The sequence below is a fragment of the Homo sapiens genome, chromosome 13 (assembly GCF_000001405.40).
Source record: "Homo sapiens chromosome 13, GRCh38.p14 Primary Assembly".
Classification (NCBI taxonomy): domain Eukaryota; kingdom Metazoa; phylum Chordata; class Mammalia; order Primates; family Hominidae; genus Homo; species Homo sapiens.
The window spans coordinates 19,840,206-19,859,788 of NC_000013.11; the positions used below are offsets into that span (position 1 = coordinate 19,840,206).

General features: G+C 42.4%; 1 protein-coding gene across 15 annotated transcripts in view; it reads right to left on the bottom strand.

Annotated features, from left to right (window-relative positions):
* Window positions 1-19,583, bottom strand: part of ZMYM5 (zinc finger MYM-type containing 5) — a 40,168-nt gene that overhangs the window by 16,724 nt on the left and 3,861 nt on the right. For 12 of the 15 annotated variants that reach the window (XM_005266594.4, NM_001142684.2, XM_006719894.4 and 9 more), the window contains 2 exons: window positions 11,484-11,985; window positions 11,150-11,243 (listed from right to left, as the gene is read on the bottom strand). In XM_005266594.4, the coding sequence (XP_005266651.1) occupies window positions 11,150-11,243; window positions 11,484-11,975 (586 nt within the window). In that variant the 5' untranslated portion in view covers window positions 11,976-11,985. The remainder of the gene's footprint in view (window positions 1-11,149; window positions 11,244-11,483; window positions 11,986-19,583) is intronic. The other 3 variants (XM_047430769.1, XM_047430768.1, XM_011535310.3) reach the window with 1 other exon arrangement.

The window sequence follows — 19,583 nt, forward strand, 5'->3', positions numbered from 1 at the left end:
GGCGGGAGGATCACTTGAGGCCAGAGGTTTAAGACTCAGCCTAGGCAGGGTGCAATGGCTCATGCCTGTAATTCCAGCACTTTGGGACACTGGAAGCCAGTGAGTTTGAAACCAGCCTAGGTAACAAGGCAAAACCCCATCTCTACAAAAAATAAAATTAGCTGGGTGTGGTGGCGCTCGCTTGCAGTCCCAGCTTCTCACTCTGTTGCCCAGTCTGAAGTGCAGTGGCATGATCACAGCTTACTGCAGCCTTGAACTCCTGGGCTCAAGCGATCCTCCCATCTCAGCTTCTTGAGTAGCTGGGACAACAGGCACATGCCATCACACCTGGCTAATTTTTTTATTTTTTGTAGAGGCAAGGTCTCACTATGTTGCCCAGGCTGATCTTGAACTCCTGGACTCAAGCGATCTTCCTGCCTCGCTCTCCCAAAGTGCTAAAATTATAGGCATGAACCACCACACCTGGCCACTTTTTTTTTTTAATTTTTTGAGACGGAGTCTCGCTCTGTCGCCCAGGCTGGAGTGCAGTGGTGCGATCTCGGCTCACTGCAAGCTCCACCTCCTGGGTTCATGCCATTCTCCTACCTCAAGCCTCCTGAGTAGCTGGGACTACAAGCACCCGCCACCATGCCCGGCTAATTTTTTGTATTTTTAGTAGAGACGGGGTTTCACCGTATTAGCCAGGATGGTCTTGATCTCCTGACCTCATGATCCACCCGCCTTGGCCCCCCAAAGTGCTGGGATTACAGGCCTGAGCCACCGCGCCCGGCCCACCTGGCCACTTTTTACTTTTTTTTTTTTTTTTGAGACAGAGTCTTGCACTGGCACGCTCACTGCAACCTCCGCCTCCCAGGTTCAAGGGATTCTCCTTGCCTCAGGCTCCCAAGTAGCTGGGATTACAGGAGCACGCCACCACACCTGGCTAATTTTTGTATTTTTAGTAGAGATGGGGTTTCACCATGTTGGTCAGGCTGGTCTTGAACTCCTGACCTCGTGATCTGCCCGCCTCAGCCTCCAAAGTGCTGGGATTACAGGCGTGAGCCACTGGGCCTGACCTATTTTTATATGAAAAATTACAACAATCTGTGAGGCTCTGGATGATGTTAGCATTTTAATCCATAGGTTGGAAGGGGGTTTTTATCAGTACTCCTCTTTGCAGGTCCTCAGTGTCTACTGAAAACTCCATTTAGCTTCTCTGCAGCCTTTTCTGGAATTGAACACATATTCAATAGGGAAAAACAGCCCCAATTCTTCTCTCAGATCTTGGAACCTTAGTTTTTCCATTTGTTATTTGTAGCTCTTGATGTCTGATACTTTATACATTTTGTCATTTTTTCCCTAATTATTCTCAGCAAGAGGGATAGGAGTTACCTAGGTATCAGAAATGAAACTCCCTAGAGTCAGTATCATGGTCAGAAATGTTTATAATGCAACAAAAATACAAAAGATGTAAGAGCAAATTCTAAATTTAGGTATTTTCTCTCATGAGCTTTTTTTTTTTTGTACTGTTTATACAAAAGTATGTGGGAACTGGAGAACTTTCACTGAAACATAGTGTACCCTAAAAGTTAAAGAAAGAATTAAATGGTCCTTTCTAACAAATATAATCCTATTTTTTTTTTCTTTTTTGAGACAGAGTCTTGCTCTGCTGCCCAGGCTGGAGTGCAGGGGCGTGATCTCAGCTCACTGCAAGCTCTGCCTCCTGGGTTTGCACCATTCTCCTGCGTCAGCCTCCTGAGTAGCTGGGAATACAGGCGCCCACCACCACGCCCAGCTAATTTTTGTATTTTTAGTAGAGATGGGGTTTCACCATGTTAGCCAGGATGGTCTCGATCTCCTGACCTCGTGATCTGCTCGCCTTGGCCTTCCAAAGTGCTGGGATTACAGGCATGAGCCACTGCGCCTGGCCAATCCTATTTTCATAAAACGGAATGCAGTTTTACGTGTACTTTATGAAGAGCCAGTTGTATTGGTTTTCCTTTTGGTGCTGCCAGCTTCCTTCCACCAACCCACCTACCCCATGGGCTGGCCAGACCCTTTCCCGCAGGGGGCTGTCAAGAGCCAGTTTTATATGATGAAATTTAAACCCATAAGACCTAAATTTAAATACAATTCAACTCCAGAAATCCTTGCCCGTTTTTTCTCTTGTACTACAAAACCTTCAATTTATCTACATGGGAAATACACAGCAACTAAAGTAACACATTCTGGAGGAACTTTGACTTCAAACAACAACATAATAATATAATCAATGTCATCTTATTCTTAAAGCTTCCTGGTAAAACCTAATTTGTTGTACTAATGCTGACAGCAAGTAAAAAGAAAATTTAAGGTTAATACTAAAAACGGACTTCTTTTATCTATGCTATGTCAAGTTAAAGAGTAAAAATAGCAACAACTACAAAAAGACTATCCTTTTGACAGATGACTTAAGCTTTTTTTTTTTAATTAAAAAAAAAAAAAAGGTTTCTTGGCTGGGCGCAGTGGCTCACACCTGTAATCCCAACACTTTGGGAGGCCAAGGCAGGCAGATCACCTGAGGTCAGGAGTTCGAGGCCAGCCTGGCCAACATGGCGAAACCCCATCTCTACTAAAAGTACAAAAATTAGCTGGGCATGGTGGCAGGTGCCTGTAATCCCAGCTACTCGGGAGGCTGAGGCAGCAGAATCGCTTGAATCTGGGAGGCAGAGGTTGCAGTGAGCCAACATCATGCCACTGCACTCCGGCCTGGGAGACAAGAGCCAAACTCCATCTCAAAAAAAAAAAAAAAAAAAAAAAAAAGTTTTTTTACATGGACATGGAGTTTCGCTATGTTGCCCAGTCTGGTCTCAAATTTCTGGGATCAAGCAATCCTCCTGCATCGGCCTCCCAAAGTGCTGCAATTACAGGCGTGAGCCACTGCATCCAGCAGATTTAACAGTTTTTTTTTTTCTTTTTTGAGATAGAGTCTCACTCCGTCACCGAGGCTGGAGTGTGATCTTGGCTCACTGCAACCTCCACCTCCCAGGTTGAAGTGATTCTCGTGCCTCAGTCTCCCAAGTAGCTGGGATTACAGGCATGCGCCACCATGCCCAGCTAATTTTTGTATTTTTAGCAGAGACGGGGTAGAGGTAGAGCAGAGGTAGAGGTTGCAGTGAGCCGAGATTGCGCCACTGCACTCCAGCAAAAAAAAAAAAAAAAAAAAAAAAAAAGAATATATAGCAAGGCTTCTAGTTTCCATGAAAGAGCTTTTATTTATATAAGATGGAATTCATGCTTATATAAACATGAATGACATCTAAAACAAGCAATAAATATCTAAAATGTAAGAAAGTATTATAAAACAAATAAAGAGTGAAAGAAATAAACAGGCACAGTGTGGTGGCTCATGCCTATAATCCCAGCACTTGGGAGGCCAAAGCAGGTGGATGGCTTGAGCTCACAAGTTCGAGACCAGTCCGGGCAACATGGAGAAACCCTGTCTCTACAAAAAATACAAAAATTAGCTGGGCACAGTGGCACACGCCTGTAATCCCAGCTACTAGGGAGGCTGAGGTGGGAGAACGGCTTGAACCTGGGAGGCGGAGGTTGTAGTGAGCTGAGATTGCGCTATTGCACTCCGTCCTGGGTGACAGAGTGAGACTCTGTCTCAAAAAAAAAAAAAAGGGGGCCAGGTGCGGTGGCTCACGCCTGTAATCCCAGCACTTTGGGAGGCTGAGGCAGGTGGATCACAAGGTCAGGGGATCGGACCATCCTGGCTATAACATGGTGAAACCCTGTCTCTTCCAAAAAATACTTAAAAATTTAGGTGGACGTGGTGGCAGGCGCCTGTAGTCCCAGCTATTCGGGAGGCTGAGGCAGGAGAATGGCATGAACCCGGGAGGCAGAGCTTTCAGTGAGCCGAGATCGCCCCACTGCACTCCAGCCTGGGTGACAGAGTGAGACTCCGTCTCAAAAAAAAAAAAAAAAAAAAATTAGCTAGGTGTGGTGGTATGCATACCTGTAATCCTAGCTACTTGGGAGGCTAAGGTGGGTGGATGGCTTGAGCCCGGGAGGTGGAGGTTGCAGTGAGCCGAGAATGTGCCACTGCACTCCAGCCTGAGCGAAAGAGCCAGACCTTGTTTCAAAAAATAAATAAGTAAAAGTAGACTCAAAAGGATGATTTTCAATGGACATTATTTCAAAGTCTTTGACACCTTCATTGCTTTTAACACAACCTAGAGATTGCAAGAGTTCTATGTTGTCTCAGGTTTAACTATTAATAAGACATGTACATAGTAATAAATGGGTGACAGATGTGAATTTGAGAAAATTCATTAAAAATTTCAAATATATTTGTCAATGGTCAATGACATGCAAATTATGATGATACCACCTTTCAGTTTAGCAAGCTTTAAGTAATAACACCTACTGTTAAGGAGTGTTTACAGTACAGAAAAAGAACTCTTTCTTTTTGAGATGGAGTTTCGCTCTTGTTGCCAGGCTGGAGTGCAGTGGCGCAATATCGGCTCACTGCAATCTCTGCCTCCAGGGTTCAAGCAACCCTCCTGCTTCAGTCTCCTGAGCAGCTGGGATTACAGGTGGCCGTCACCACGCCAAGCAAATTTTTTATATTTTTAGCAGAGACGGGGTTTCATCATGTTGGCCAGGCTGGTCTGAAACTCCTGACCTCAAGTGATCCACCCGCTTCGGCCTCCCAAAGTGCTGGGATTATAGGCGTCAGCCATCGCACCCCGCTGAAACTCTTATGCTGCAAGAAAAGTAACACAATTTGGTGGTGGGGGAATTTTGTATTAACCATCACATGCTTTAAAAATATGTTGACATCTTGAATGCAAATCTACTTCTAAAAACTTTTCAAGAAAATAAGGGTGCCAAACTTAGAGATGTTTATGAGAAACAGTTTGTAATTGCAAACAGTAGAAACTACCCCAAATAACAAACTACTAAATGACATATAAACATTAACAGATAATTATATTTAATATGATCTAATAATATAATGATATGTCCAATGCTTCCCTGAGGTCAAGAACAAAATAAGGTTTTATAGTCTACTTGTATTCAGCCTTGTATTAGAAAAAGAAACAAAAGGGAATGTGTGAAGTCAACTATTTCCATAGTAATACCAAGATTTATTGCTTTTTGTATTATGTGGCATTTGCATTAATGATGGAAATGCAAAACCTCTGGCAATGGCACTAAACCGTACTAGCAGTTTTCACTAGTATGCATTTGGTCACCTTCACTTATGAATGTTATCCTAACACCAACTGGTATATATGGAAAACAATTCTGATGCTAATGTACTCAGAGTTAGCATGAGACCCCACAAGTTTAAAGGCCTGGTTCTCAGCAAGACTGCCCTCACTTCAGATACCAGCTGCACTTCTAATCAACTGGCCACAAATCTGGGAGGGGCTCCCAAGGTTGGATAATTTGTTAGAAAGACTCACAGAACTCTGGAAAAGCTCTATATTTACATTTAGTTGTTTGTTGTTTTTTTAAACAAAGGATACAAATCAGAAACAGCCAAATGAAGAAGCTCATAAGGCAAGGTCTGGGAGGGTCCCAAATGCAGAATTTCTGGGCCAGCTTTCAGTGGAAGCAGTAGCATCACCTGCCTGGCACACTGATGTGTTCACCAACCAAAAGGCTGCACTGAGCTTCAAAATCTAGAGTAGTTTTATTTGGGTTTCATTACGTAGGCATGACTCATTGGTCATATGACTGAACTCAGCTCCAGATCCCCTCCTCTCCCAGACTTTGGGCTGGCTCAAAGACCCAAGTTTCAATCCTATAGTTCATCTTTCTGGTGTTTAGACTCCACTGTGAGTCATCTCATCTCTTGGCGTAAATTCAGGTATGATCCAAGGAGCTTATGAATATAACAAAGATACTTGGAAATTTTAAGGATTTAGAGTCTCTCTTCCAGGAACCAGGGACAAAAATAATTTTTACTACAGATGTCTTTGGTGAAACAGTAAAAGTTATTAATAATTTCATTAAAGTTTAGCCTTTGACATCTTAATTTTCTGTATGACAAACTGGGTAGTATGCATAAAGTATTTGTTTCATACCAAAGTACAAAGGTTATCTTACTGAAAAGCAGAAAAGTGCTTGCACAGTTGCTGGACTATAAGCTGAACTAGCCATTTTTCATGGAATACCATTTTTACTTGAAAAAAATGACAAACTATGACTATTGGAGACATTTTCTTAAAAATAACTCAAAAGAGTTCATCACTTCAAGAAAACAGAGTATTTGTTGCTGATGAGAAAATATGAGCTTTCAAGTGAAAAATCAGAATTTTTGAAAACTTGGGGCACATGTTCTCAGGACCTCCTGAGGGCTGTGTCACTAGCCAAAAAAAAAAGGCGAATTTTTGGAAGCCTGTATCCACCACCATGAACTTGACAGCTTCCTAAAGTGTCAACATTTAGGATCTGAGTGAACCAATATTTTCCAAATAACCAATGCACAATGTTATTAATACAAAGGTTAAAAATCCATTCAAAATCAATAGATTTTAAACTAATAGACCAGTCTGTACCAAATACAGTCCCCCCCTTTTTTTTAAGGAAAAAAAAAACTAGCAGGGTGTTATGGCATGCACTTGTAGTCTCAGCTACTTAGGAGGCTGAGGTGGGAGGATAACTTGAGCCCAGAAGTTTGAGGCTGCAGTGAGCTATGATCATGGCACTGCACTCTAGTCTGGGAAACAGAGTGGGATGCTGACACATAAAAAAATTAAAAATAAACAGTATGAAAAAAATTTTTTTGAGACAGTCTCGCTCTGCTGCCCAGGCTGGAGTGCAATGGCATGATCTCAACTCACTGCAACCTAGGCCTCCCAGGTTCAAGTGATTCTTGTGTCTCAGCCTCCCCAGTAGCTAGGACTACAGGCATGCACAACCACACCCAGCTAATTTTTTGCATTTTTAATAGAGATGGGGTTTTGTCATGTTGGCCAGGCTGGTCTCGAACTCCCAGCCTCAAGTGATCCGCCTGCCTTGGCCTCAAAAAGTGCTGGGATTATAGGCATGAGCCACTGCGCCTGGTGATGAAAACTTAATTATACGGTTACAAATCCCACATTGTAACAACCTCGAAAACTACTAATTGTCAAGTTTTGGTGCTGCATCAAAAGAAAACTATCCACATCTAAAAAGACGTGGAAAATAGTCCTCCCTTCTCCAACCACCTATCTATGTGAGGCCAGATTTTCTTCTTATACTTCAAGCAAAACAAAATACTACAACAGACTCAATACAGAAATACATATGAGAAGCCAGATATACCTGTCTTCTATTAAGCCAGATTTTAAAGAGATTTGCAAAAATGTAAGACAATGTTACTTTTCACTAAATTTCTTTGAAAATAGTTATTTTTCATTACAAATGTTATTTATGTTATATAATGGGTAATTATTGTGAAATGAATAGTTTTAATTTTTCTTTTTTTTTTTTTTCTGTGAGATGGAGTCTCACTCTGTCGCCCATGCTGGAGTGCAGTGGCGTGATCTTGGCTCACTGCAACCTCCCGGGTTCAGGTCATTCTCCTGCCTCAGCCTCCCGAGTAGCTGGGACTACAGGCACCTGCCACCATGCCCGGCTAATTTTTTTTTTTTTTTTTTTTTTTTGTATTTTTAGTAGAGACGGGTTTCACTGTGTTAGCCAGAATGGTCTCGATCTCCTGACCTCGTGATCCGCCCACCTCGGCCTCCCAAAGTGCTGGGATTACAGGCGTGAGCCACTGCGCCCGGACTAGTTTTAATTTTTCTTAAGATTTTATCTTATTTTTTGAAACAAAAAAATTTCTGTCGCCCAGGCTGGAGTGCAGTGGCATGATCTCAGCTCACTGCAACCTCAGCATCCTGAGATCAAGCAATTCTCATGCCTCAGCCTCCCAAGTAGCTGTGACTGCAGGAGCATGCCACCATACCCAGCTAATTTTTTTTTGTTGTTTTTTGTATTTTTGTAAGAGACGGGGTTTCACCATGTTGGCCAGGCTGGTCTTGAACTCCTGACCTCAGGTGATCCGACAGCCTTGGCCTCTGAAAATGCTAGGATTACAGGTGAGAGCCACCACACCCAGGTAATTATTATTTTTTGAGACCGGGTCTCACTCTATTACCCAGGATGGAGTGTAGTGTTGTGATCATGGCTCACTGTAGCCTCAAACTCCTCGGCTCAAGTGATCCTCCTGCCTCAGCCTACGAAAAGTGCTGCAATTACAGATGTGAGCTACTACGTCCATCCATTATTATTATTTTTTAAAGACATTAGGTCTTGCTATGTTGCCCAGACTGGACTCAAACTCCTGGGCTCAGGTGACCCTCCCACCTCAGCCTCTTTGTTTTTTTTTGAGACAAGTCTCACTTTGTCGCCCAGGCTGGAGTGCAGTGGAGTGATCTGGGCTCACTGCAACCTCTGCCTCCCAGGTTCAAGTGATTTTCCTGCCTCAGCCTCCTGAGTAACTGGGGCTACAGGTACATGCCACCATGCCTGGCTACTTTTTAATTTTTTTAGTAGAGATGGGGTTTCACCACGTTGGCCAGGGTGGTCTCAAAATCCTGACTTCAAGTGATCCACCTGCCTTGGCCTCCCAAAGTGCTGGGATTACAGGTGTAAGCCACCATGCCCAGCCCCACCTCAGCCTCTTGAATAGCTGGGACTACAGGTGCACGCCACTATACCTGGCTAAAGCTTTAATTTTTAATATATCTAATAATAGAAATAAAAGAAACCTTTGGGGTCTTCATTTTAAGAGTGAATCTGAGACCAAAAAAATTGAGAATAAGTACCCTATGGAAAAAATAAAAAATGTAAACATACGTATTTATTGTAGCTTCAAAACAATGAAAAAGCATGTAAATGATGAAAAAAATACATAGGGGAATGAGTACTTCAGACAAATATTTTGTGGTTACTAAAACTTATATATACATATTTTTAGAGACAGAGTCCCACTCTGTTGCCTAGGCTGGAGTGCAGCGGTAGGATTAAAGCGCAATGTGACCCCAAACTCCAGGTCTCAACTGACCCATCGCAGCTTCCTTAAGTGCTGAGTTTACAGGTGCACATCATGGCGCCTGGCTAATTTTTTTTTACTTTTTATAGAGATGAGGTCTTCGCTACGTTACTGAGGCTGGGTTCAAACTCCTGGCCTCAAGTGATCCTTCTTCCTTGGCCTCACAAAGCGATGACATTACAGGGGTGTGCCACTGCACCCAGCCTATATTTTTATGATGACATAAAATATTAGCATTTAGATTAAGTAAATCAGCAGGATACAAAACAATATAAAAAGTGCTCTAAATTATATTTTTAAAAACCAAAGATTGAAAGCAAACAAACCAAATTCTTCACAGTGGTCACATTATTTCTAGTTACTGGGGTAAGGAGACATATTTTCTGATTTCTATGATTTTTTTCTAAATATTCTATAATAATCACATAGTATTTCGTAACCAGAAGATAAAATTAATTTTAAAAATAAGGAAAAAAGTTGGCCGGGCGCGGTGGCTCAGGCCTGTAATCCCAGCACTTTGGGAGGCTGAGGCGGGTGAATCACTTGAGGTCAGGAGTTTGAGACCAGCCTGGCCAACATAGTGAAACCCCATCTCTACTAAGAATACAAAAAATTAGCTAGGCGTGATGGCACACGCCTGCAATCCCAGCTACTCGGAAGGCTGAGGCCCGGGGATCACTTGAACCCAGGAGGCAGAGGTTGCAGTGAGCCGAGATCGTGCCACTGCATTCCAGCCTGGGTGACAGAGACTCTGTCTCAAAAAAAAAAAAGGGAAAAAGCACTATTTTCCTGAAGGCAACAACATGATTAGGTTCTCAGGTTCTCGTTACTTTTCAGTACTTTCCTAAAATTCAACAGGCTATAAACACTAAAATGGTCAAAAAAACAATACCAACTCTCCCCCAAACCCCTCACAAGTCACATAAAAGCAACAAAAAGGCATTGCTATTTAAAAAATCACTTGTTATGTTTTAATTATATCAGAATAGGACTATCTATATAAGTTCTAAAAATACAGTTCCTTGATTTAAAGGCAAGAAAGTTTTCCAACTTTCAGAATTAAGCGACTAATAAAACGCCGATTTAAAAACTAAAATCAGGCCAGTCGCAGTGGCTCACACCTGTAATCCCAGCACTTGGGGAGGCTGAGGTGGGCAGATCACCTGAGGTTAGGAGTTTGAGACCAGCCTGGCCAACATGGAGAAACCCTGTCTCTACTAAAAAGACAAAATTAGCCAGGCATGGAGACGGGCGTGCTTGTAATCCCAGCTACCTGGGAGGCTGAGGCAGGAGAATCAGTTGAACCCGGGAGGGAGGGGCTGCAGTGAGCCGAGATGACGCCATTGCACTCCAGCCTGGGCAAAAAGAGCAAAACTCTGTCTCAAATAAATAAATAAATAAATAAATAAAAACTAAAATCAGGGATAAAAACAGCCTAAAATTAAAAGCTTAAGCAAAAATTGAAATTTTAAATAATTATAAATAAAATAAAATCCAATCATTATATATTACTTTGTTCTTTCATTACACTGTATCTTTATCCTTTGATTTTTATATAAAGAAAGTAAAGAAGGTAAAGTATTTCAATTAAAATATTTTAGATGTAAATCTTACTGGATAAAATAGATTAAAATCCCAAAATTTCAGAGACCAAGTAGACCGTACAGTTTTATTAAGTAAAATATTCTATCTTAATATGAAAGTCAAAGGCCGGGAGTGGTGGCTCACGCCTGTAATTCCAACACTTTGGGAAGCCAAGACAGGTGGATCACTTGAGGTTAGGAGTTCGAGATCAGCTTGGTCAACATGGTGAAACCCTATCTCTACTAAAAACACAAAAACTAGCCGAGTGTGGTGGCAGGCGCCTGTAATCCCATCTACTCAGGAGGCTCAGGCAGGAAAAAAAAAATCGCTTGAACCTGGGAGGCGGAGGTTGCAATGAGCTGAGATTGCGCCATTGTACTCCAGCCAGCCTGGGTGAGAAGAGCGAAACTCGGTCTCCAAAAACAAACAAACAAACAAGCAAACAAAAAAAGCAAAGCCACAGAATGTGAATAAAATAGATATGAGCTTTACTAAAAAGAACAGCCAAAGGCTTATTTACTTGAGGTAGAAACAGTATCACTTACTGCTTACCAGGACTATGATGAGTTGCAAATTCTCCATTCTGAAATAAGTCTCCTGCCACATTCATTCTACCAGGGTTAAAAGGTCTTACTCCAGTCTTGGTCTGTGGAGTTAAAGATGGGGTGTACGTTTGTATATTAACACCAAAATTACTTGACTGAAGTCCTTTAGCGACATCTCCCAAGTTGGTATTCTATAGTGATGTTTTATATGTAATAATTATGTTCACATCTTGCCCAGCATTCACAGAGCTTATACCTGTTTCTAAGGTTGTAACATTAGTAATAATGTATTTCAGAGTCAATTCTGTAGTGATACCACTATTACCCATTCCTGCATTTACCTTACTTCTTGAAAGACTGGAAGTGGAGAAATCCAAATCGTTGGTTTTGTTTTTAGTTCCAGGAAGTCCCCATTCGATAAAACAGGAAGACTTTTTCTCTGCTCCTCCATTTGTTTCTATGTCCTCTTCATCATCAATAACAATTGTCTCACTTATATTTCCTTTCTGAGATGCCAAATCTCTTGAAGAAGGAGGAATTACAGAATAATTTCCTTGAGGCTTTTCATTTTTTGATGATGCAAATATGAAGTTTCTTTGATCAGCTATTGCTGGAGCAGAAATTGAAGGAGGTTGTATAGATTCAATAAACACAACATCATCATCATCATCATCATCTTCCACTGGTGAGTTCCTAGATCTACTGACTAAAGGACAAGCTGGATGACCAAATGAATCCCCTATGTCCATGAGACTAGTTGCCATGGCCATATTCCCTAATAAAGCAGGAGTCTGTTCAGTCAACTCTAATCCTCCCACTGAACATTTTTCCATGCCAATGAACCTGTAGAGACAGAAAAGAAAAAAAAAAGTTCTAGTATGTTATGGTTTTTGCATTTTACTACAATAAAATAGCACAAGCAAATTTTTCAAATTATTTTTTGTGATACCTGATATCCATTTTGTTTTTCCTCTACTGTTAACTAATGTTTACTTCAGAGCTTGATGGAAATTAATTATATAATTTTGGTAGTCCTTTAAAAAATTCTAATCAATTTATAGTACTCACTTTATTCACTCTTTATAGTGAAAAAATGCCTGCCTTCCTTTGAATTAGAAAATAGTAACAAAATAATTAAATTAAATACCAATAACTTAGGGTCCTAATATAATCACTTATATTCCATATGCTTTTACCTACTACAGCATTTATGATATGGCCCTATTTCCCAAGTGTCTCCTGCCATTGTTTTCTTTCCAAAATCACTTCTTCCAAAATAATTATGTAATTATCTTTATGCATCTTTTTTGTCCTTGTACAGAAAGCATTAAGTCCATTTATGCCAGATATTATGCAATGGGCTTTTTACAGAAAATAAAATTATCAAAACTCCATGATAGTAGCTATAATTTACTCTTATAGTTCAAGAAACTGAGGCCTAGGGAAGCTAACTAAATTGTTCCACATAACACTGGGAGTAAGACTTAAACTCAGGGCTCTAAAAATTCGTTTTCTTTTGAGAGAGGGTCTGGCTCTGTTGTCCAGGCTGGAGTGCAGTTGTGCCATCCTGGCTCACTGCAGCCTTAAATGCCTGGGTTCAAGCAATCCTCCCACCTCAGCCTCCCAAGTAGGTAGGACTACAGGCTCTTGCCATCACAGCCCAGCTAATGTTCCATAAAGTTCTTGGAGAGAGGAGGTCTCACTACATTGCCCAGGCTCATCTCAAACTCCTGGCCTCAAGCAATCCTCCTGCCTTGGCTCCCCAAAATGCTGGGATTACAGGCATGAGCCATGGTACTTGGCCTAGCCCCAAATTCTTAACTTGTTAACACTCAACCTTTTGTATACTTACTATGCACTAAGCTATGATGACAGAAATAATCTAGCAGAGACAATAGTTGAAAAATCTGGAAGTGAATAACTGATGAAACATGGGGGGCTCTTAAGCAGATGAGAGATAAGGACATGTGCACAGGTGGTAATGAAATTGATCACGTATAAGGATCACCTCTATCTCAACTGAAAGAAGGCAAAAGTAAGTATAATTGGAATGTTATGTAGGTATGCAGAAACAATACATGGGATTATACATGCTGGCCTCAATTTTCAATTTTTTTTTTCTTTTAGTAGATGTGAGGTCTCACTATGTTGCCCAGGCTGGTCTCGAACCCCTGAGCTCAAGTGATTCTCCCACCTGGACCTTTCAAAGTGCTGGGATTACAGGAATGAGCCACCACAACAGGCGTGGCCTCAGTTTTTTTTTTCTTTCTTTTTTTTTTTTGTCCTGTCTCACTCTGTCACTCAGGTACAGTGGCGCCATTTCAGCTCACTGCAACCCCCACCTCCCAGGCTCAAGTGATCCCCCGGCTTTAACTTCCTGAGTAGCATGCCTGGCTACTATTTTTTGTATTTTTGCTAGCGACAGGGTTTCGCCATGTTGCCCAGGGTGGTCTCGAACTTCTGAGCTCAGATGATCCGCCTGCCTCAGCCTCCCAAAGTGTTGGGATTATAGGTGTGAGCTACCAGGCCTGGCCTCTGGCCTCAATTTTCTGAGTAGAAACTTGAGAGTGAAAGGGGTGGGAATTTTACAGGTGTTGAATGATTAAGAAAACACACTTCATAAGGCAGTCATCACTCCATTTTATTTTAAACATCTCATATTGAAACATGCTTTTTTATTGGAGACAGAGTCTCACTCTATCGCCAGGCCAGAGTGCAGTGGTGCAACCTCGGCTCACTGCAACCTCCGCCTCCTGGGTTCCAGTGATTCTTCTGCCTCAGCCTCCCAAGTAGCTGGGAGTACAGGCGTGCGCCACCATGCCCAGCTAATTTTTGTATTTTTAGTAGATACGGGGTTTCACCAAGTTGGCCAGCATGGTCTTGATCTCTTGACCTCGTGATCCACCCACCTCGGCCTCCCAAAGTGCTGGGATAAGAGGTGTAAGCCACTGCGCCCGGCCAAAATATGCTAACATTTTTACTCTAAAAATTTCCCTGCTGGGCGTGGTGGCTCACACCTGTAATCCCAGTACTTTGAGAGGCTGAGGTGGGCAGATCACTTGAGGTCAGGAGTTTGAGATCAGCCTGGTCAACGTGGTGAAACCCCATCTCTACTAAAAATACAAAAATTAGTCAGTCGTGGTGGCAGGCGCCTGTAATCCCAGCTACTCAGGAGTCTGAGGCAAGAGAATCGCTTGAACCCGGGAGGCAGAGGAGGTTACAGTGAGCTGAGATTGTGCCACTGCACTCTAGCCTGGGCAACACAATAAGACTTCGTCTCAAAAAAAAAAAAAAAAAACCTCAATGTAATCTATAATCCATATAGTCATGAAATAGGTAACATTTATTCTTAATATGTATTATGCTATTATATATATTAACTCAGTTAATGATTACTTAAGTGAGGAAGGAACTATTACTTTTCCCATTTTGCCAATTAGGAAATTAAGAGCCAGGAGATAAGTAACCTGCCTAACTCACCATTGCTGAAAAAGGTAGTCAGGATTCAAATCCAAGAAATCTGACTCTAAAACCTATTTCTTAGCCAGTATATTATATGCAATGCATGTGGAAAACAATTGTTAAAAATTACTTATCTTTTATTAAGATGAGCCAATTCATTACAATAACAAAATTAACATTTACATAAGGCTGTTTCAAAGATAAATAACAAATTTAAGGAACCAGTTTAAAATAAGGTTTGTAAAGAAATGAAAAAGATTGGGGGCCAGGAATGTTGGCTCATGCCTGCTAATCCCAGCACTTTTGGGGGCCAAGTGGGAGAATTGCTTGAGCCCAGGAGTTTGAGACCAGCCTGGGCAACATGGTGAGATTCCATCTCTACTAAAAATGTTTAAAAATAATGATAAAAAAGGAAAATAATTTCTGGAAAAGAGTTATAACTGACTCCACAGTATCTTCTTTTTTTTTTTTAAGATGGAGTCTCGCTCTGTCGCCCAGGCTGGAGTGCAGTGGCACAATCTAGGCTTACTGCAAGCTCCGCCTGCCAGGTTCACGCCATTCTCCTTCCTCAGCCTCCCAAGTAGCTGGGACTACAGGTGCCTGTCACCACACCTGGCTAATTTTTTGTATTTTTAGTAGAGACGGGGTTTCACCGTGTTAGCCAGGATGGTCTCAATCTCCTGACTTTGTGATCCACCCGCCTGGGCCTCTCAAAGTGCTGGGATTACAGGCATGAGCCACCGCGCCCGGCCCACAGTATCTTCTTATGTCTGCTAGGTTCTATTTTACTTTTCTCACAGAAAATAATACACAGCATACTCTTTATACTCAGTTCACTGCAGTCATCTACCTTTAAAAAAAGATTAAGTATTCACTGATGCTTAAATCCCAGATTATAAATAAGTTAAAACACTACTAAAGGCCAGGTGCAGTGGCTCATGCCTGTAATCCCAGCACTTTGGGGGGCCAAGGTGGGTGGATCATGAGGTCAGGAGATTGAGACCATCCTGGCTAACACGGTGAAAACCCATCTCTACTAAAAAAATACAAAAAAAAATTAGCCGGGCATGGTGGCAGGAACCTGTAATCCCAGCTACTCGGGAGGCTGAGGCAGGAGAATGGTGTGAACCCAGGAGGCGGAGCTTGCAATGAGCAGAGATGGCGCCACTGCACACTCCAGCCTGGGAGACAGAGCGAGATTCCATCTCAAAAACAAAAAAAAAACAAAAAACAAACAAACAACAACAACAACAAAACTACTAAAAGCCATTGTGTTTATAACTTAACCATGAAAAACTTTAATTCTAAAAACACAAGACCATAAGAAAATTTTGAATATTTCTAAAATATTGTCTAAAAACAGAGAAAAAGATGCTGTATAGCCAATTAGCTATGTGGCAGTGGGCAAATTATGTCACCTGAGTTTTAGTTTCCTAAACTGTGAACAGGGATAACATATAGCTTTAAGCTTTTTAATGAGGTGAGTGGACATGCAAATCCCTGGCATATGGCCTGGTCCATATCAGAGAGTGCAAAAAACATCAAATTATGACCGGCCAGATGGCTCATGTCTGTAATCCCAGCACTTTGGGAGGCTGAGGCAGGTGGATCACCTGAGGTTGGGAGTTCGAGACCAGCCTGACCAACATGGAGAAACCCCACCTCTACTAAAAATACAAAATTAGCCAAGCGTGGTGATGCATGCCCGTAATCCCAGCTACTCAGGAGGCTGAGACAGGAGAATCGCCTGAACCCGGGAGGCAGAGGTTGAGGTGACCTGAGATCATGCCATTAAACTCCAGCCTGGGCAACAAGGGCGAAACTCTGTCTCAGAAGAAAAAAAAAAAAAATTGATTCACGCGTGGTGGCATGCACCTGGAGTCCCAGCCACTCAGGAGACTGAGGCAAGAGAATCGCTTGAACCCGGGAGGTAGAAGTTGCAGTGAGTTGAGACCATGCCACTGCACTCCAACCTGGGTAACAAAATGAGACTCTGTCTCGAAAACAAACAAAAAGGCCGGGCGCAGTGGCTCACGCCTGTAATCCCAGCACTTTGGGAGGCAGAGGCGGGCAGATCATGAGGTCAGGAGATCGAGACCAGCCTGGCTAACACAGTGAAACCCCGCCTCTACTAAAAATACAAAAAATTAGCCGGGTGTGGTGGTGGGCGCCTGTAGTCCCAGCTACTCGGGAGGCTGAGGCAGGAGAATGGCGTGAACCCGGGAGGCGGAGCTTGCAGTGAGCCGAGATCCCGCCACTGCACTCCAGCCTGGGCGACAGAGCGAGACTCCGTCTCAAAACGAAAACAAAAACAAAAACAAAAACAAAAAATCCCTTACCATAAAAAGGTATTTAGGCAAATACTATGCTACATTGCTACATGCTGGGATTTCAGCAACTGTCTAATTTTAAACATTTAACTAGTCTTCTTGTGGTATCTTATTCATACACAAATTATAACACTAGCAAAATGCTTACATGTAAACTATCTCTAGAGAATGGGAAACAACGTAAATTTAACGGGATATTTAGGTGTAAAGATAAGGGTTAACATAAAACAAAGAAATGAATAAATGTACTTTGACCTATTTAGCTCTTCTTGTAGACTACTTTCAGAGACACTTCACAGTTGAGTATATAAGCACACCTATTTAAAATCAGATATAAAGGTGTACCATGACTCTGAAGGTACTCACAAAAGTAATGAGATCAGAAAAAAGAAGAGTCAACTGAACTACTACCACAAATAGCAAGAGAATTACTGCAGGAACTAGGTACAAAATTACTATCTAAATTGGGCCTGGTGCCTCACACCTATAATCCTAACACTTAGGGAGGCCAAGGCAGGAGGATCACTTGAGGCCAGGAGTTCAAGACCAACTTGGGCAACAAACTGAGAACTCATCTCTACAAAAAAATAAAGGCCAGGTACAGTGGCTCATGCCTATAATCTGAGCACTTTGGGAGGCTGAATAAGATGGGAGGATAGCTTGAGCCCAGGAGTTCAAGACCAGCCTGGGCAATGCAGAGAGACCCCTCTCTACAAAAATTTAAAAAGTCCAACATGGTGGCATACGCCTGTAGTCGCTGCTACTTGGGAGGCTGAGGTGGAAGGATGGCTTGAGCCCAGGGGGTCAAAGTTGCAGTGAGCCATGATCACACCACTGCACTCCAGCCTGGGCAACAGAGCAAGACCCTGTCTCAAAAATAAAAAATAAATATAATAAAATAAAATAATTAGCTGGGCATGGTGGTGCACGCCTGTAATCCCCAGCTACTTGGGAGACTGAGGCAGGAGAATCACTTGAGCCCAGGAGTTCAGGGCTGCAGTGAGCTATGACCACACCACAGCACTAAAGTCTGGGCAACAGAGTTAGACCTGTCTCTAAAAATTAAAAAAAAAAAACAAAAAAACCACAAAGACAAAAAACAAACAGAAAAAACAACTCTGCCTAGAAATCACTAGCCCAGCAGGGATTAAGACAGTAAAGTGGGCCAGGTGCAGTATAATGCCCCTGTAATCCCAGCGCTTTGGGAGGCCTAGGCAGGTGGATCGCTTGAGTCCAGGAGTTCAAGACCAGCCTAGGCAACATGGCGAAACCTTGTCTCTACAAAAAATACAAAAATTAGCCAGGCATAGTGGCACATGGTTGTGGTCCCAGCTACTTGGGAAACTGAGGCAGGCAGCTTGTTTGAGCCTGGGAGATAGAGGCTGCAGTGAGCCGAGATGGGCCACTGCACTCCAGCCTGGGTGACAGACTGAGAGACGCTGTTTCAAAAAAAAAAAAAAAAAAAAAAAGATGGCCGATTGATCACATACAACTAACTTCGTTCCCTTCCAAAACTCCCCTAAACAGGACTACCACAAGGAAAGGAAGAATAAGAAACAAAAGCAATATGATTTTATAAGCCAAAGAACAGATGGATGAATGGTTAACTGCCAACCTGAGATAGCCAGAGTCTAAAACAGTGAATAAAAAGCCAAGAAACATTCTGATTTCCACTGTAGGCTCAGAAATCTGTAGCACCACATATCCCTGGAACAGAATGGGCAGATGCTAAGAAAAGAGGTTGAGAGATATCTTCCCTCCCATCAAGTTGATGGTGACAGGCCTTTCCCCATCCTAGCACAGATTCTAAAAATTTTTTCTTTGATAAGATAGAACATAAGATCTAAGTCTTGGGTTCACCAAGCACTGGGGAATGTTTCAATACCATGAAATATCTCCTCTCCATTGCTTGAACCCAGGAGGCAGAGGTTGCAGTGAGCCGAGATCACGCCACTGCATTCCAGCCTGGGCAACAAGAGCAAAACTCCATCTCAAAAAAAAAAATGTCCCCTCTCCTACTTGATTCCCAGAGAGCTGGCATCCAGACTTCTATTTTCCAGGCAGCAAACTCTTTTCTGGAGGCTTTCTTTCTGAGCAAGACTCTTCCCTGCGGAACTAAGAATCAGCAAAAAAGGAAAGTCCTAAAAATATTAACCTATGGGGTTCCCCATCAATTGGCCAGAAGATCACCCGCAAGCTTCAAGTTGGAAACCCCACTCTCACTCTTCCAATTTGCTTTTTAGTTCCCGTTTTTTGTTTGTTTGTTTGTTTGTTTGTTTTTGAGACGGAGTCTCGCTCTGTCACCCAGGCTGGAGTGCAGTGGCGCGATCTTGGCTCACTGCAAGCTCCACCTCCCAGGTTCACGCCATCCTCCTGCCTCAGCCTCCTGAGTAGCTGGGACTACAGGCACCTGCCACCATGCCCAGCTGATTTTTTTTTTTGTATTTTTTGTAAAGATGGGGTTTCACCGTGTTAGCCAGGATGGTCTCAATCTCCTGACCTCATGATCTGCCCACCTTGGCCTCCCAAAGTGCTGGGATTACAGGTGTGAGCTACTGTGCCCGGCCTTTAGTTCCCAATTCTTAATCATAAATAAAACAGTCAAGAATTATGCAATATATGTAACACCTACTATGTACCCACAAAAAT